The following is a 19,345-nucleotide window of genomic DNA, read 5'->3' on the forward strand; positions in this document are numbered from 1 at the left end:
TGTTGGATTTATACCCAATAAGCAACCACTACTTTTTTGAGAACTGCCCTCTACCCTAGCCCCTGAAAATATATTATATGAAAATTCTCTCCCAGCTCTAATTGGTTTAACAAAATATATGACCCAACCCAACCCTATCACATCATCCTCCTATTAAATCTGAAATTGGTATTTGGAGACATTAATTAGGTTACATTGGTTATTTGGACTCGGGAGTAGTCCTTAGAACTACATAGAATTGCTAGGTAGGAAAGAAAAAGGAAACATGCACCGTAGAAAGAGAGAAAGCTCTTATTTCCTAATGTATTTCTAGTTCCCAATTTTAGTTCCTAATGAACTTCAACTGTACTTTCTTTTCTCAGGTTTGATGAAGTATTCTTGTCTCCTTATGGTATAACTCCCTCTCTCTCTCTTTCTCTCTCTCTGCCCCTCATCTTGATTTCATTATTTGCAACCTAAAAATGTTTAGCAAAGCCACATTAATAGAGAGATTTACAGTTTCCAATCCACTTTCACATGCAAATCTAATTTGATACTCACAAAATTCTCTGGTTTGAACTAGTAATTAAGTCACTCATTGAAAACAGTACATCTGGTAAGTGGTGATTCCAGAGTTCTACAGAAGGAGCAAGTTCTTGCCAACATATGCATTGCTTCCTGAGTACGTTGGTGGAAAGGCCCAAATATTCCAGGGTTCTATGTCTCCTAGAGGCACTGGTGACACATAGAAATGTGGCACTCTTATATCTTTAACATCATTCTATACAATTAGGTATATGTGCAATATATGCCTCAGTTTATAAATATTTCCATTTCTTTAAGCCTTTTGGCAGCTACCTACGCCTGCAGCCAGAATATACCAAGGAGTTATTTCATTACAGATTATTTTCCTTTCATATAAACAAATAGAGAGAAGGTCATAAATACTAAAAAGCATACAAAATAATAATTTATGATAAAAAATAAAACAGAGGATATTTATTTACAGAGTATCGTGACCAAAGGTGCTCCCCAACCAGCTGATCTTAATACACCAATAGACAACGAAAAGCAGTGTCTTCCCTGTATTAGTCAGAGCCTTGAACTTTAGTTCATTTTTCTTCCTAGTTTTTTTCCTCAGTGATCTCAGGTCAACAAGGAAGAGGGAAAAAGCAACTGTATCAACACCCTGGGGTCTTCTGACCTAAAGTCCAGTTTCGCACAGACGAGCCAGGGAAAACAATTGACATGTTCACATTCCCTTATTATCAATTTGATGAAATCCAATATAATCTATTTTAATCACTAAGATAAATGCCGTATGCATGTTTATCACCAACAGAGTGTTTCTTATTTTGAAGACAATCTCTATTTTTTGAAAAATTAAACAGTTGGAAGCCAGATCTGACAGAGAAAGTCACAAACCAACTTGATAATGGCAAAATGACTGTGGCATTTTCTAGTGGATTTTACAGTTCCTTAAAGTGCTAATTTCCTAGAGAATAGTAAGACTAGAGGAGTAAAGAAATCATGTAGCTAGGTTTTAATTAGGAAATAAGTGTTAGTTTACTTACTCTCCAACTAGCTTAATTCTAATTTATTGAAGCATAATCTTTCCTATTTGCAAAATAATAGCACAAATATTTGTAAAAAAAATTCTTTTTATGATTTAACCAAACTACTGGAAGCAACACCCTATAATGTTCAAAGATATAAGAAAAAAATAACCCATGCCAATAAACTAGACAGAAAAAGCAAAATTGTGAATACATGTATGCATGTATGTGTGTGTGCATGTGCACGCATGTGTGTGTGTAAATTCTAATTCAAGGAGGTACAACGCTTTGAACCTTCCTCAATTCTTGATACTTTAGAATAAATGAGTCTAAAATCATCACTATATTTTTTCACCCGAAGAAAGTATTTTAAATGGTATGTGTTACTATTAGGATTTATTTTACTAAAGACAAATATTTATAAGTAATACTGCAGTGTTTTTAGAATTTGACTTCACTTATTAGATTGTTTTGTTCCTGGGATACTCCCCCAATATGGTAGATACTACATTTAAACCAAAGTTTTGGTATTACTATATCATCACTTCTAATGAAATCATAGAACTTTAGAGGCAGAAGACATTTTGGAGAACATGTTGTCCAATTCATTCGTTATATAGGTAAAGATTCTATGATCTCTGCAGAGAGGTCATGTGACAACTCAAAGTTTTATAGATATTTAATGTTACTTCTAGATCTCCTACTTTTAGGTTCAACCTCCCTATGATTCCTTTTTATTTTCTGGGTGGTGTGCAGATACACTTGCGGCTCTTTTTATATCACTAAAATCACCTTTAAAAAAAACTAATGCAATAAACGAGGTATGTAATTTCAGAATGCTTAGGTACATTTTGGTTGAAATCAGGTCCTTAGAGAAACCTAGGAAAAGTGATGAAGGCAAAGGAACGCTTCTTAGGGATGAGTAGAGCAGAAAGTTGGCATTGCTGACTATTCAGCATCAATTCACTTCCTTCGGTTTACACAGCACTGATCTTTCCCTGAATACCATCCAACTCTCACTCCCAACCAATTTCATGTACTTTGTGTAGAGTTAATTCCAATACTGGCTTCAGGGATGAGCATGTTGCTGAATCTACTAGAATTTTATAGTCATCAGCCATGGCTCTTTACTACAAAAGAGTATGTGACACAATCGAGGCCAGAATAATAATTAGACATTTGTTTTGCTGGTTAGATTGGAGGCATGATCTCCTTTCCATTGAAACTACTAGAGTAAAGCCAATGGAGCAGAAGATAAAGAAAAAGAGATGAGGAAAATGAGACAAACTATAAGGTCAGAGCTAGAGTGTAGGAAAAAGAAAATAAACTCTATCTTCTCAATCTTTACTAATACAGGAAATTCAGAGTTGATCCTGAAATTCACACAGCTAGCAATAACAAAGTTGATGTACTTTTTCCAAAAGTATGAAATAAGGATATTATTCACCAATCAATGGTGCTTTGCTAGTTTAATGAAATCTGGGATGTTTATAATCACATCCATGAAATAGTTATTTCTTTCATACATTAAGTCTTATACAGTCTACTTCTTTTTACAGTTAGTTACACTGGTTACTGCTAGAAAGAGGGAGGGAGGGAAGGAGGGAGGGAAAGAAGGAAGGGAGGGAGGGAAAGAAGGATGGATGGATGGATGGATGGATGGATGGATGGATGGATGGATGGATGGAAGGAAGAGAGGGAGGGAGGGAGGGAGGGAGGAAGGGAGGGAGGGAGGGAGGGTCTATGAAGAGTTTGTTTTTCCCTGCAAATTCATATGTTAAAGTCCTAAATGCCAGTACCTTAAAATGTGGCCTTATTAGGAAGTAAGGTTTTTACAGAAGTAATCAAGTTAAAATGAAGTCATTCAAGAGGGTCCTAATCTGATAGAAGTGATATCCTTATAAGAAGAAAAAATATGGATATAGAGATACACATAGAGGGGAAGTCAACGAGAAGAGACAAGGGGGGAAGATGGCCAACTGCAATCCAAGGAGAGAGGCCTGGGAGAGATCCTTCCCTTATAGCCCTCACAAGGAACCACACTGCTGACATCTTGATTTTGGACTACCAGCCTCCTGAACTGTAAGACAATAAATTTCTGTTATTTAAGCCACTCTGCTTGTTTTGGTATGGTAGCCCTAGCAAACTAATACAAGAAAAAAAAAAAAAAAAAGAAAGAAAGATCATTTGAAAACTGCTGAGTAGTCTCCTGGGGTTGCTGTAACAAATTACCACTAATTAGGTGGCTAACAATAAAAATGTATTCTTTCACAGTACTAGAGGTCAGAAATGTTAGAGCAAGGTGTTAGCAGAGCCATATTCCCTCCAGACGCTCCTGGAGAGACTCCTTTCCTTTCCCTTTCTTGTTTCTGGTGCGTGTCAGCTTTCTTGGCTTACGGTCACATTGCTGTGAGCTCAGGCTCTGTCTCTACATCACCTTCTCCTTTGTGTTTGATTTTTCCTCATATAAGAACCCCTGTCACTGGATTTAGGGCCCACCCAGATAATCCAAGATTATCTCCTCACCTCAAAATCCTTAATTACATCTGCAAAGACCTCTTTTTGAAATAAAGTAAAATTCATAGCTTCTGGGGATTACGACATATATACCATGGGGACCCACCATTTAGCTCACTACTGGTGCTGTTTTTTAAGTGAAGATTTAAAAATAAAAGGCAGATTAAAATTATTTACAACTGAATTATTTTAATGTGTTCCAATGGTTCTGTGATGAGCATTTACTCAAACAAGTGTAGGTGACAAAGTTTGAGCATCTTGATATATTTGTTTTCTATCTCAAAATGTTCTGACCCATTATGAAATCCCCAGATATTATCTCCCAATATTATCTCCCTTGCCAAAAGAACTCTTCAACCAATTAAAGGAAATTTCTTTTCTTCTTTAAGTTCCAACTTTTATGTTAGATATGGGGACATATGTGTAGGTTTGTTACATTGGTATATTGCACTCAGGTAGTGAGCATAGTACCCAATAGGTAATTTTGCAACCCATGTTTTCCCCCAGTTCTTCTCAGCTTTCGTAATCCACAGTGCCTATAGCTTCCATGTTTATGTCCATGTCTGCTCAATGTTCACCTCCCACTTATAAGTGAAAACATATATTATTTGGTTTTCTATTCCTACTTAATTCACTTAGGATTATGACCTCCAGCTTCATTCATATTGCTGCAAAGGACATGATTTTATTCCTCTTTATAGCTGCATAGTATTCCATAGTGTATATGTACCACATTTTTTTTATCCATTCCACCATGATGGGCACCTAAGTTGATCCCATCTCTTTGCTACTGTGGATAGTGTGGTGATGAACATACCCACACATGTGTCTTTTTGGTATAACGACATCTTTTTCTTTATGTATGTAGTCAGTAATGGGATTATTGGGTGGATGTTAGCTCTGTTTTAAGTTCTTTGAGAAATTCCCAAACTGCTTTTCACAGTGGCTGAACTAGTTTACATTCCCACCAATGGTGTATTAAGCATCAAAGGAAATTTCTGACTGTTAATACATTTTGCAGTCATGTAAGTATGGGCATGTTCATCTGTGGGTTGACTCTGTGGAATTATAGACACATTACTTACAGCCTTGTCCTGATTTCTATGACAGAAAAATATAATGACCTCCACTTAACTTTAAGAGTTGTCATTTGAAATATATTTCATTAAATTATAAAAGAAAGCATTAATTAATAGAATATTTAAAATTGTCTTTAAGTGAATTAATAACAACAAACCTCAGGCAAGTTTGTAAATTAATCTAATTATGACAAATTTTGTCTATGAATAGATTATTATAATTTTCCCTGTGGTAGCCATGTCCCTTTTTTGTGAGTGTAAACAAACTTGCGAAATACACAAAATGACAGTAGCTTGCATTGATACCAGAGACTCACATATTTTCAAAGTTTAGGATACGTAGACAACTGATTTGTCCACTGGACAAAATTTATTCCAAATATCAGCCAGACTGTATGTTCCCTCCATTTTTAACTAAATGTACTACTTGTTTAACTGACATGTTTTTGCACTTTAGTAAGAAAGATAATGCTAACACTTTAAAAATACTGTCTAGTTTATATTCTCCATTATACATATTATAAATGAATATGCTGAGTGTTCATGAAATGAAATGCTCAGGGTCCACATAATTGGCAAGTACCAATTTACTTGGCCTGGGAGATCTACGGACTGCAAGAGGAATCTGTGAATGGTATTTATAATATGTGAATGGGGTGTATTTTTTAGGGTTCTATAGTTCACCTAAAATTATTTTTAAAATGTGTTTTAAAACGAATATGTGAATTTTCCAAACGCAGATATTCCTGGCCAGGGCTTTTGTTGGATTTGTAACGAGTTTGTGATTCAAAAAATTCCCCAAAACTCCAGCCTAAGCTTCCTGTCTACTAGAGTAATGCACTGAAAACATTAATCTGTTCTTTATACAAAACTAAACAAGACCCTTTAGAAAGAGAATATTTGTTCATATATCTTGGAAGATTGCTATTTGCAAATTTTCATGCTTGGTCATGAATCACCTTTAAAATTTGTACTTAGGCAAAGCAATCACCAATCAAAATGCAAGCAGAAAGGCAAGGCTAAAAAGTATGACTCTCAAGCCATTTCAATTCACTTGAAGGTCATCAGTTATATGAAATATAAACCTCCCTCTCTGGGACAAAATATTTAACCAACTGTTTGAGTAAGATATGCCTTTGTTCCTGCTGGTTCCGTGAGTAAATAACACCAGCCCACATCTGTATGCATTTGGTCTTTTCTAAAATATTTGTGTGCCATTGTGTGGACACATTCTTACTAGACTGCTTTGGGTGTCACGATTCACAATTTGATGTGGAACTCAGAGCCAAAAGAGCCCTACGTGATTATTTTAAATGAAAAAATTACATTTAATGCAAATGCCATTCTTTATTATATTTTCTGAGTTCTAGGTATAAGTCCCTAGATGAAACAGAACTAAAGGCAGCTATAAAATATCTACAGCTCTTTTAATTCGTTAGGAAATTGTCTAGAAACAAAACTCAATTTCTTTTTTTTTCTTTTCTTTTCTTTTTTTTTTTTTTTTTTTAGATGGAGTCTTGCTCTGTTGCCCAGGCTGGAGCACAGTGGCACAATCCCGGCTCATTGCAAGCTCTACCTCCTGGGTTCACACCATTCTCCTGCCTCAGCCTCCCGAGTAGCTCGGACTACAGGCGCCCACCACCACGCCTGGCTAATTTTTTGTATTTTTAGTAGAGACGGGGTTTCACCATGTTAGCCAGGATGGTCTCGATCTCCTGACCTCATGATCCGCCCGCCTTGGCCTCTCAAAGTGCTGGGATTACAGACGTGAGCCACTGCGCCCGGCCACAAAATTCAATTTCTAAGCATTTATACCTCAAAATCAAATTAGTCTCCTCTCATTTGTACTTTTAAAGTATTAACAGGAATTTTATTCACATAGTTCTGTTAGAAGTTGCCAGAATCACTACTAACTACTAGATTTCTGGAGGCTAGTCATTTGATTGCTTCGGGAGATATGGAATTACCTAACACTGGAAAAGAAAGAAAATGAAGATTATATCAAAACTGCAGCATGGAACTCTATCAGAATTTTATAGCAGAAATGAAAGGAAGTTTGTCCCAACACCCTTCCAGCAGAAGACATATGATAAGTTAGATTCATCCTCTTTACCAGGGACCGGGGTATATAAATGAAAAGAAAACAGAGTAGTCATAAGTCAACAGACCTGTCAACAAATCTGTGAGAATTACCTATGACTGCATAAAAGGGAAAAAAAGTTAAAATCAAATTAAGTCAAATGTGATGGATACAAACTAAGGAACAGAAGTTAGAAGGAATGAACTGTATATGTAGATGCAATATAAGTATATCACAGAAAAAAAAATAGTGATGGATGAAAATATATTTAAAGATACCTACCTACGGAAACATTTATTGAAGTGGCAACCTATGAAGCAAAAGAAAATGGTGGAGACTGAGAATAAAAGGAAAAAGACAATAGCTAGGTGCAAGCTAGACAGATGACACATAGACAACAATCAGGGAGAGACTTTTTTTAAAAAGCACATTGGCAATGTCTCAAAACCAGAAATATATGGATAACCTTCTACGTGAGCTCTGCAAAGAATGGTAACATTCTAATACAAAAGGAATGGAACTGCCAAGGGAGACACAAAGAAGAAGGGAGGTAAAGAATAAATTCTGTAATTCTTTTTTGCTTCTAAGGTCACTTACAAGGGCCATGGGAGGAACCTAAAATAGAGGTAAAATGATATATTCAGCAACTGTGAAGTAAAAACATTGCTTTTAGTAAATGATCTGTTATGAGAGATGACACATTGAGTGAGTTAATTACAAAAACTCCTTAATACTTTGCATGTATTAGATAAGATATATATATAGAGAGAGACAGAGAGAAGAAAGTGGAGCCCCAATTATGAAATAAATTCAGATAAGCCTGAAAGACATATTTACAGCAATGTAACTCCCTACAATCAAGAATATCTTCAAGAGCTCCAGATTATTGCAAACTAAGTATCTGAACAAAACTGGGGCCTGGCAAACTGAATAGAGATACAATTTCAACCCCAGCTCCTCAGGAATAAAAATAGACACAAAATAGACTGACTCTTAGTTCAAGCAAACAAGTAAGAAAATGCTTTCTGATTAATTTATTGTCTTGAGGATTGTGATCAAATCAGTTAAAATTAAACCTACATAATATAAGTTTAAGATGTACACACCCCTACAACCATCTGATCTTTGACAAAGTTGACGAAAATAAATAATGAGGAAAGAACTCCCTATTCAATAAATGATGCTGGGATAACTGGCTATCCCTATGTAGAAAAATTAAATGGGACCTCCTGTCTTTCACCATACACACACACACACACACAAAAAAAACCTCAAGATGGATTAGAGATTAAATACAAGGCCTTAAACTATACAAATCCTAGGGGAAAAAAAAAACAGGAATTACTCTTTGTGACATCAGCATTGGCAAAGAATTGGTGGCTAAGTTCTCAAAAGCAACTGCAACAAAAGCAAAAATTGACAAGTGGGACCTAATTAAAGAGCTTCTGCACAGGAAAAGAAACTATCAACAGAGTAAACAGACGACCTACCAAATGTCAGAAAATATCCCAAACTATGCATCCGACAAAGGTCTAAAATCCAGAATCTATAAGGAGCTTAAACAAATCAACAATCAAAACCCAAATAACTCCACTAAAAATAAGCAAAGAACATAAACACACATTTCTCAAAAGAAGGCATACATGTGGCCAACAAACATATGAACAAATGCCAAATGCTCATCATCACTAATCATCAGAAAAATGCAAATCAAAGCCACAATGAGATACCGTCTCACACCAGTCAGAATGGCTATTATTAAAAAGTCAAAAAATAACAGATTCTGGCAAGGCTGCAGAGAAAGAGGAATGTTTCTACACTGCTGGTGAGAATGTAAAGTAGTTCAGCCACTGTGGGAAACAGTTTCGAGATTTCTCAAATAACTTAAAATAGAACTACCACATGACCCAGCAATCTTATTACTGGATATATACCCAAAGGAAAATAAAGCATTCTACAAAAAAGACACACACAGCCTAATATTCATCACAGCGCTATTCACAATAGTGCTATTCACAATAGGAAAGACATGGAATCAATCTAGATACCCATCAACAGTGAATTGGATAAAGAAAATGTGGTACATATACACCATGGAATACTATGCAGCCATAAAAAGAATGAAATCATATCCTTTGAAGCAACATGGATAGAGCTGGAGGCCATAATCCTAAGGGAATTAACACAGGAACAGAAAACTGAATACTGCATGTTCTTACTTATAAGTAGGAGTTAAACGTTAAGCACACACGGACATAGATGGGAATAACAGACACTGGGGGCTAGTACAGGAGGAAGGGAGGGAGTAGGGGGAAAGGGCTGAAAAACTACCTATTGGGTGCTATGATCACTACCTGGGTGACAGGATCATCCATACCCAATATCTCAGCATCATGTAATATTCCTATGTAACAAAACTGCACATGTACCCCCTGACTCTAAAATAAAAGTCAAAATTATTTAAATAAATAAACAAAACTCAACTCTTTTTTCAATTTAATTCCCATCCTGTCATTGGAAAAATGTGGTTAACAATTTTTCAGAAGGGTTCTATGGAGCAGAGAATATTTACAATTATTTTAGGGAAAAGGACAACTCTCTGCCTAAATACAGCTGTTCTAGAGTATAACATATTATTAAGAACTATTTTAGGAGTAGAAGAAAAGACCCTTGCAGTGCCTGCTGCTAACTGGTATGCATTCCAAGTTAATTAAGTGGAGAAGCAGATCTACCAGATTTATGGAAATATCCCAGGGATAAACCATAATAACAACATGCACACGCACAAACACAGAGCCTGATAAAACTCTTCCATGGTTCAGTTGATAACGGAGGCATTCAGAATGCCCAAGTTAATATAAGACAGTAGCCTAAATCTTTAAAAATAAAATGGAAAGAAAGAAAGTGAAAGGGAAAGTACAGATTCTGATGACAGAGTTGGGAAGTAAAGCAGGAATTTAAAATATGAATTTGCATTGATAGCAGGGATAAGAATGAAGTGACACAGAAAGTATTGAACCTACTCATCAGATCTACCATTTGACTTTTGTGCTGGGCACTTTCGTTTTCTACTCACCAGAGATAAAGAAATTACCAATTATGGCAGACAGAATTCTAAAAGTGAGCCCCCAAGATTTCCTGCCCTAATCTCCAGGAAATATGCTGAGATGCCTCACCGTGAGTATGTCACTTTACACAGCCAAGGATATAATTAAGTTACTAATCAGTTGACCTGAAAATAGGGAAATTACATGGATTATTACATGTAATATGTAAATTACATATATTATACAAATATAATCACATGAGTCCTTTAAATTCAGACTTTTTTCTGGCTGGTGGCATAAAATTAAGTCAGAGAGATTCGAAATACAAGCAGGATTTGACAAGCTATTGATGCCTGGAAGACGGACGGGTCCCCATGGCAAGAAATACAGGTAGCCTCTAGAAACTGAGAGCACCTACAACTGACAGCCAGCAAGCAAATGGGAACCTCTGTCTTACCACCCCAAAGAAATTAATTCTTCCAACAACCAGAAGGAGCTGAGAAGGGAATTCTTTCTCAGAGCCTCTGAATAAAAACTCAGGCTGGTTTATACCTTTATTTCAGCCTTATGATTCCCTGAGCATAGACCCAGCCAAGCCCATCTGTACTTCTGAACCTTAGAACTATGAGCTAATAATTCGATTTTGTTTTAAGTCATTAAGTTTGTGGTACTTTTAAAATGCAGCAATAGAAAACTAGTACACCATGATTATATCACCGCAGTCTTACTGTGGAATTTTTTCAGGCAATATAGTAGCATACATCTGTGTCTCATGAGTAAAAGGAGAGTTACATATCAAATGAATAATTTTAGTTATCATTTTGAGTACAAAGGACACGATGGTCCCGGCCAGTTCAGTGGTGGAACTGTTAAATAATGCCTTATAGTATTCTTATGAGAATATAGTATTCTTATGAAAAACAATGAAAACTGACCAGTTTTCAATGACTATCAATGTAAAAGTCCCTCAAAGTGGCTAAATTATATATTTCTTCCATTGAATTTTGCTAAAGATAACCATTTTGATGCCAGTTAATTTTTAAATTAATTCAAAAATAATTAAAAATATTTATTAGATATATCAATAAGTTTCATCAAAAGCAGCATAGTGTGGTAGGAAGCACATTTGAGTATAAGTAGATACCAGTTTTGGTGCTAATTATGTAAGTAAGCAACTTATGTGATCTTAGAGAAGGCATCTAACATTTTGACCTCAGTTTTCTTATTTCTATAGTAAGTGTAAACTAAATTTGCTTCTCAGGTACCTATGAGTTAAATTTTAATATTTATATTAGAAAAAAACAGGCTAACAGGTAAGATATATTATTGAAAACAAGAAAATATCAGAAAAATTAAATATATTACTGTAGAAGACTTAACATGTATATTTGAGCAACTTTTCAAAATAAAACACTGTAATAACTGTTTTGAGAAAATCAGATCATTAAGAAAGCTTAGTGACAACATTTAAAATATGATTTTATAGAATCATTGGAACTCCTTGCACATTTTCAATTTCAGGTGAAATATTTATGGGAAACAATAAGAATGTAGGAACATGAGGTAGAGTGAAAGGAAGGAAAAGAATCAAAGGGGGAAATAAGACCCTACTTTGAGATTATCTAAGATCTCAAATCAGAGAAGACCAGTTCAGAAGGGGAACGAGAAGAAAATCCTAGGGGAGGGATGAGAAAGAATTTAGGATAAAACACTGAATTAAAAGCAGGAAGGATGAGAATATTTTCTATACAAGAGAATGAGATATCAGAAAATAGGAAAGGCTTGTTGGGATATAAATAATAGTCTAGATTACCATCCTCAGGAAAGGATTTTCCAGACTTCAATGGGCAATGAGAACCTTATCTTTTATAACTCTATCTCTCCTAGGCCAACCATCTAGAAAATATTGACATCGACAGATTTCCTTGAGCAAATAACAACTACCATAGATCTGTCAACCTGGTGCTAGGATTCAGACAAAAAAAATTTAAAAATGAAGTGCTTCTGAGGGAGCTTCCTGGAAAGAATGAATTTCTCAGAAGAATAAATGTCAATCACCTGCTATTGGCAGGGTCTGCCTATTTTGGAGAGCACTCTGACGTCTGTCAAAAGTTCTGACATTAACCTCTCTTTTTCCAATGGGAGGAAGAATATCTGTTGCCCTGCCACTCCTGAAAGTCCTGCCTCAATGACAGGGGTCATAAGAAGGAGGCTGCTGCTTCATACAAACATCTTTTACCAATAAGAACCCCAAAGAAAGAAAAGGGTTGACAGACGACAGCCTCTGATCCTGATTTAGAGAAGAGCAGAGTATACATTTCTAGGGGATACAATTTGCTAATTTCCTCCTGCTGGACATTACTGATTAACATGATAGAAGAAATAGCCTCAAAAAAATGTGATATGTTGTGTTCATACCTATTACACAGATTAGTCAACACAGCAGCATGTAGAAAGGTAATAAAGAAACATACATTATTAACATTTCTACATTGTAAAAAAAAATTTCTGCAAGTCTGGAATTTCCCAGTAACCTCAGGAAATTTAATGGTTTTTTTTAACAGGATTAAGTGCAGACACGGCATTCACCTAAATATAAAATTTAGATTTAACAACTGTTCAAAAGTGGGGTCACAGAAAGTAAATGCTATCCATTTTGTAATAATATGACAAAAATTTTTCAGAAGAAGGGGGAGGCAAATAAGGATAAGAATATAGTAAGAACATTAATTGTATTTCCTTAGGATGGCATCAATAGATGAAGTTTAATGCAGATACATTAATAAACAGGATTTAAAGTTTATTATGTAAGGTCATAAAGAGAACTTCAAGAAGGACTAAAAATGCGAAGACAACAATGAAATCTGGAAGATAGAAAGATGGAATAAAATATGTGTGTTCCTTACTTCATTTTTTAAAGGAATGTATAAGTACATGCAAAATGTTTATATGATACTTTCTACTGTTTTTTAACCCCTTCCTTAAAAATAAAATACTGATATGACTCTTTATAAAAGGCTAAGAAATAAGTATTACATTGTTTATATACAATTTTGTCAATACTGTTCCTAAGAATAAGATTAATTTTGAAGAAAGACTTTGAGGAAAGATGACATAAAATTGACTCTAAACAACCTTCTTGCACCCTGACTGAACTATTTGAAGAGAAGGAAAATAAAGAGGAAAAAAAGTCTTTTAACAGTCCTAAAAACAAGGGTTGATGCTAGAAGCATACCACAAACTTAAAAACAAGAAAAATATAAATGAGGAGATGCAATGATGTGGGAGAAGGCAAGAATTCAGGGAAAACTTACTGACGTCCCGGGAGACATGTCCACTGTGGTCATGAGGGAGCCATTGGAGGGCCCCAACTACCACAATTGAGTTCGCCTTCCCATAGCAAGCGGACCATATTCTAAATTTACAATAGTAGGGATAGAAAAATGGCTGTGACCATTTCTATCTACAGGACAACTTATAATGAGGAGTACAGGATTACTCTGAGTTTGGGAAACCTCTCTGTGAAAAATGTCGCTAAGATAGTTCTAGAAATTAAATATAAACTACCTAATGGCCTTGCCTCTTGTTAGAAGCCCTATGGAAACAAAATTTGGTTTTTTACTGGTGTGTGTGGAGGGAATTAAAGATGCAAGCTTAATTGGATCAGTTATATTAGTTTTAAATATTTGCCTACACGTGATAAAACGCTACTCCTTTGTTCCAACATAAAGTCAGAAAACAGGTACTTCATGGTCAGTGATGCTCTCTGAGTAGGTGATGAAGCTCCTTGCTGCTCTGCCAAACTGAGTGCATGGTTTTCATCCTCATGATCTAAGATGGTAGATCTGCTTCCAGTTTCCCTATATATATTCCAACTAAGAAGGAGGAAATGTACACGAACAAAGGGAAAGTCATATCTCCTAAAACTAAGAAAAAAAAAATCTTAGAAAACCCCAGAATTCTCGGTTTATTTCCTTTTGGCTGTAGTGATAAGGAACCCTGAGACATGGCATTTCTCTTTTTTTTTTTTTTTTTTTTTTGGTAGGGGAGGGGGAGAGCATGGGAAAGGGGATATATTCCACCCTGATCGACAACTTAAAATCAATATTGTTAGTAAATAAGAGCTGGAGGAAAAGATATTTGATAGAAAAATTAGAACTATCTTCTTCAGGCTATCTCTTGCTATACCACAATCAATCATTTACATACTTCCTTTCATTCCCATTCACTCCTTCCCAAGCTAGTCTCATCCAGTGACTCTCTCCAGTCAAAGGTTAGTGATTACTGAAGCTCTGTCAGGTCCAGGAATAGCTTCTTAAAGGTCTGAAGACCTGTCAATTTAAGCCTTAAAGCTTGTCTGACACCAACACTATTGTCGATGTTATACAATATATAATAGTTTAGAAAAAGCAGGAAATTACAGTTTTAAAAATAATTCCCATTCAGAAAGGAAGGAATAGGGAATAAACAGCATTGGCTAACTTCTAGAATATATCGAATCCTGAGGGATCAGATGGGGAAGAACTTTCTAATCTGAAAGTAGAAGATGTTCTTGGGGAATGAAGCTGGCAGTTCCTGGTTCTGCTGAGGGGAAAGATACCTCTTGCCATCTCTGCTATGAACATAGTGGCATCGTGGAACATGCCGACTTTCATAGCCCACTTCCCCTTGGTGTTGGTTGGATGTCTCAGGAAATACCCCAAGATTTGAAGAGTCACAAGCTATTTCAGGCAAGGTCAGGGGTTTCTTCGGCAAAAGAATGGGCTTCTGATGATGTTGTGGTTGAAAACATAGACTTTTGAAGCTGGAGTTACCATATATCAAATCATGGCTCTGCTTCTTACTCTCTGTAATCTCACTTTATCTCTTACAAAATGAGAGCAACAATAGTAGCCTCCTAAACAGTCAAAGGATTAAATTAATTAATACATGACAAGCAGTCACAACAGTGCCTGAATTAGAGTGCTATCTAAACTTTAGCTGTTATTTTTATTCTAGTTACATTACAACTATCATTATTATTGTATTATGGGTAAATAATCACAGAAAATGTTCTGTGACATAGTCTTTAAGATATTTGCCTTTTACATGTTGGTTTAATTTTTTCTGTTCGGCCCTTTGTCCTTTCAGCACAATGCCATTGCCTTACGTTAATTTGAAACAACAGGCTGAATGAGGAAAATCTTATGGCAGGCTCACAGTAATTGAATGACAAAATATGTTTAGTGAAATGTACTTAAGAAAGACTTGGCACCACTATCTCACCTCCTACCTGTATTTCTACTTTGTAAATGCTGATCACAGAATTTAAAAAGGAGTTCTTTCTGAGCTTTCTAAGAATCCAAATCATGTAACTTTTGATCAATTTAAATGTCAGGTGAAACATGAAAGCATCTCCTTCCACAATGCAGAAGTTCTTTCTATGTCTGCTTGACAATCCAATAGTTCTATTCTGACTTTATCCCTTTCTTCCAGAACTTTGCTCATTATATCAAGAAATAACCAGAATTTTATCACATTTTGGTTTTTTCCCACCATTCACCCCAAAAGCCAAAATCTCTATATACACATTAAATATGCCAAACATTACATCATTAAATGTTTTGATGCCATACAATAAGTTATTCATTTTCCAGCTTACAATTTCAAACATATGGAAATTCAGGAAAATAATCTCATCTAGGGCCAAAAAATAGGCAATGGAAGAAAAGCAGATAACAAAATAATTGGAGAAGCCAGGATAACAAGTGGATCATATACAAAGATGTTGACATTACCCAGGACTATGGATCTCTTGAAAATTACTGGACCCCATATACAAAGAAAAGGAATGTTGAAGTCTATAACCTTTACAGAGTGTCACATAGCAACAGGAGTGACCCATTCAATCATTAATTCAAATTTCTACTTCTATAATTCTTTTTTTAGTAGTCATATGATAGAATACGTCTTCCCAGGATTGGTATTTATTTGGCCTTCGTTACTGATCATAATTTTCTTCTTTCTCTTCTTTCTCTCCTTCCTTTCCTCCTTCCTTTATTCATTTTCTTCCTTGTTTCCTTCATGTCCTCCCTTTCAGTCTCCCACTCTTTTCTTCTATCTTTGTGTTTTGCTTTTTCTCTATTTTGTTAGGGGGCATCAGGTAGAAGGACTCAAAATAAATTAATATCCATAAGCTCGTTCTGAGCAATCCTTACTTCTTCTTCTTCTTCTTCTCAATTTCCCAGGTGCCTTGGTCAAACCAAAGGTAAAAATTTCTCAGATCTTATATTTCCCAGATGCGACACTTGTTTATATTTGAAAATATTCTGTTTATTTTATACAGACATTTGTTTGATTCTTTTGCAAATGCCTCTGACAGGATTTAAAAGGAAATCTAAAATACAGCAAAGAAAACATTAAACAAACATAGAAAAATGTGGGGAAAGAAACACAATAAATGAATATATCATAGATCCAGAAAGTAAGATGAATTTACTGCGTTAATCCATACCACAGTTATTTATAGATTACCTACAGTGGAGATGGAGTAGAAAACAAACCAGAAAAAATATCTTTCTTTCATGGAATGTACTTTATGGCAGGGGTAATCTGATCATATAAGGTAGTTATAAGTATAATGAATAAAGCCAAATAATATAAAAAATGACAAAGGAAGGCATCATGTTAGACGGAGTTCTCAAATAAGTCTCTTCTGTTGTAAAGTCATTTGAGATGAGACCTGAATGAAGTGAGAAGAGGTCACCTTTTGGGGAAACAGTGTTCCACGCAGAAGGAGACACATTTGGAAAAGGGCCTGGGATGAGGCCACATTTTGTGTGTTTCCATGGACAGCAAGAAAGCTAGAGTGAATGTAGCACAGTAAACATGGCATAAGATGAAATGAGAGAAAAAGGCAAGGTCTAATTCACCTTGTAGGCCACCATGAAGATGTTCAGTTTTGCTGCGAGAACGATAGGAAGCCAAAAAGGTTTGAAACATGGGAAAGACAGGATGTTACTTAAGGTTTTCAAAGTTCATTTTGGATACTGTGTGAAAAAAAATAACAGTAGAGGAAGGGTGAATTTGAAATTCATAGCAGCCAATTTAAGAAAGGAAAGCCAAACCAATTTTGTTTTTAATATTGACAAAAAAGATAAAGATAGACTAAAAGCTCAAGAGAAAGATGGTTTCCTGAGCCTTCAAGCAGACAAGCATGTTTTAGAGGTTCTTATTATGTAAGAACTGTATCTTAAAACACAGCTGTATCATTATTTTCTAAATGTCTCTGTGAATTCATTTTGTCTAGGCCTTGAGCTGTTTAGAAGACAGAATATTAAAACTTTTTATCTCTCACCACCTCCACCCCTCACCAATTGTTTGGGTTATTTTCACTTTACCAAAATGTTGGAGAGATACATGGATTTTTACTGAAGATTTTCCAGGGGAGACAGAAGATTTTAGATTATATGCAACATAGCACTAAATCTCATAAATATACATTTAACAAATCTTCCCAGATGCACCAGCACTTAGAATGCCCTCCTTCTATACCATTCCTGCAAAAAATCTAACATCATTGCCTAATGCTTTGAATTTCCAACAAATTTTATTATGCAGAACAAGTGAACTTGATTCCAGTGCCCTCAAATTGGATAGCCTCTTATGAGCACCTAGTCAGCAAAAGAACTTTCAGATACCAAAGTGCACTCTCTTTAAAAAGTAGTATAGTGATTTAAAGCATGTATTCCTGATTTAGATTTCATGGTTCAAATGAAAGATTTCCTCTTTACATGCTCTGTGCATTACAATCCCTCTCTATGTCTTAATTTCTTCACTTTTAAAATGGATATTGAGATAATGGATATAATCTTAAAAGTGTAACAAAATATAATACATGCAAAGTACTTGACAGAGCAGCTGGCATATGCTAATGTAATGAATACATATTAGTTATATTTATTACTATTTTTTAACATTTAGTTCATTTAGTTTCTTGTAAATAAGTATAATTTATTTATATTTATAAAATTGAGAAGTTTCTCTGAAAATGCCAGTGCAAAAGTTCCTCTTATCATGAAAATTTTTATTTTTTGATACTTTGTTAAGATTAGAAGATGTATCAACCTTCAGGATCAGTAGAAGACTCAATGCTGTTCTGCTAATTGCCTTTGCTCATAAATACCTATTTGATATAAGATTATTTGAAGTTAAGATATAATAAGGAATATAGGGCTAAAGATAGCAAGCTGCTTCATACTATAAACTCTACAAAGGATGCCTAAAAGGTAGGTGAGCCATAAAACTAAGTTCAAATTTCAGCTGTGTCACTTACTATGCAGTTTTAGTCATGTTACTTAACCTTCAAAAGCCCTCAGTTTCATCATTTGTAAGATGTGGTTACCATGAGTAAATATCTTCCAAAAACTAAGAGTTCAATACATGTATTTTCCAAACTAAATTGAATGTTATCTTTTAAGACACTATCCACTCAGAAGTTTTCACATTCTTGAAAAGCAATTTAAATTCTTTTTGTTAAAATTATTTTCTCTTATAAGTTGACAATAGTTTCTAAAATAAGGATTTTAGATTATACTTATTTACAAGAAACTAAATGTTAAGGATTTTAGCTATTTTTACTTAAAATCTTTGAGAACAAGAAGACATCCTGAACCAAAACCCTGCAGACATCTAAGATTGCAAAGAGAGAAGCTTGTCCTTTGAGCTTCTTATTTTTCATTTCTTTCTCTAGGCCCAAGTGGGATATTTCCAGATTTTGCAAACAAACCATATGTTCCCAATGCCTTAATATTAAAAGCTGCCTCATCTTTCTTTTTTAAAGGTGATATTTATAGTCCTCTCTGTTCTATATGTGAGTTGTTAAGAATTTATCCATGATCATTAGCATTTATTAAAATATTTCTACCAGGTTTCATATAGCAAATTCTATTTGTAAGTTAGTGCTCCTAGCTGCCATGGGTTAAAGCTGAAATTTCTGGGGACAGCAGGAATTTCAGTAATCTTGATTTTGATTTTTTTCTTATTCTATGTGGTTCTTCATTAAATAATAGTACTATTTAGATTTTCAGAATATGACTATGAACATGA

The sequence above is a fragment of the Homo sapiens genome, chromosome 2, assembly GCF_000001405.40.
Source record: "Homo sapiens chromosome 2, GRCh38.p14 Primary Assembly".
Classification (NCBI taxonomy): domain Eukaryota; kingdom Metazoa; phylum Chordata; class Mammalia; order Primates; family Hominidae; genus Homo; species Homo sapiens.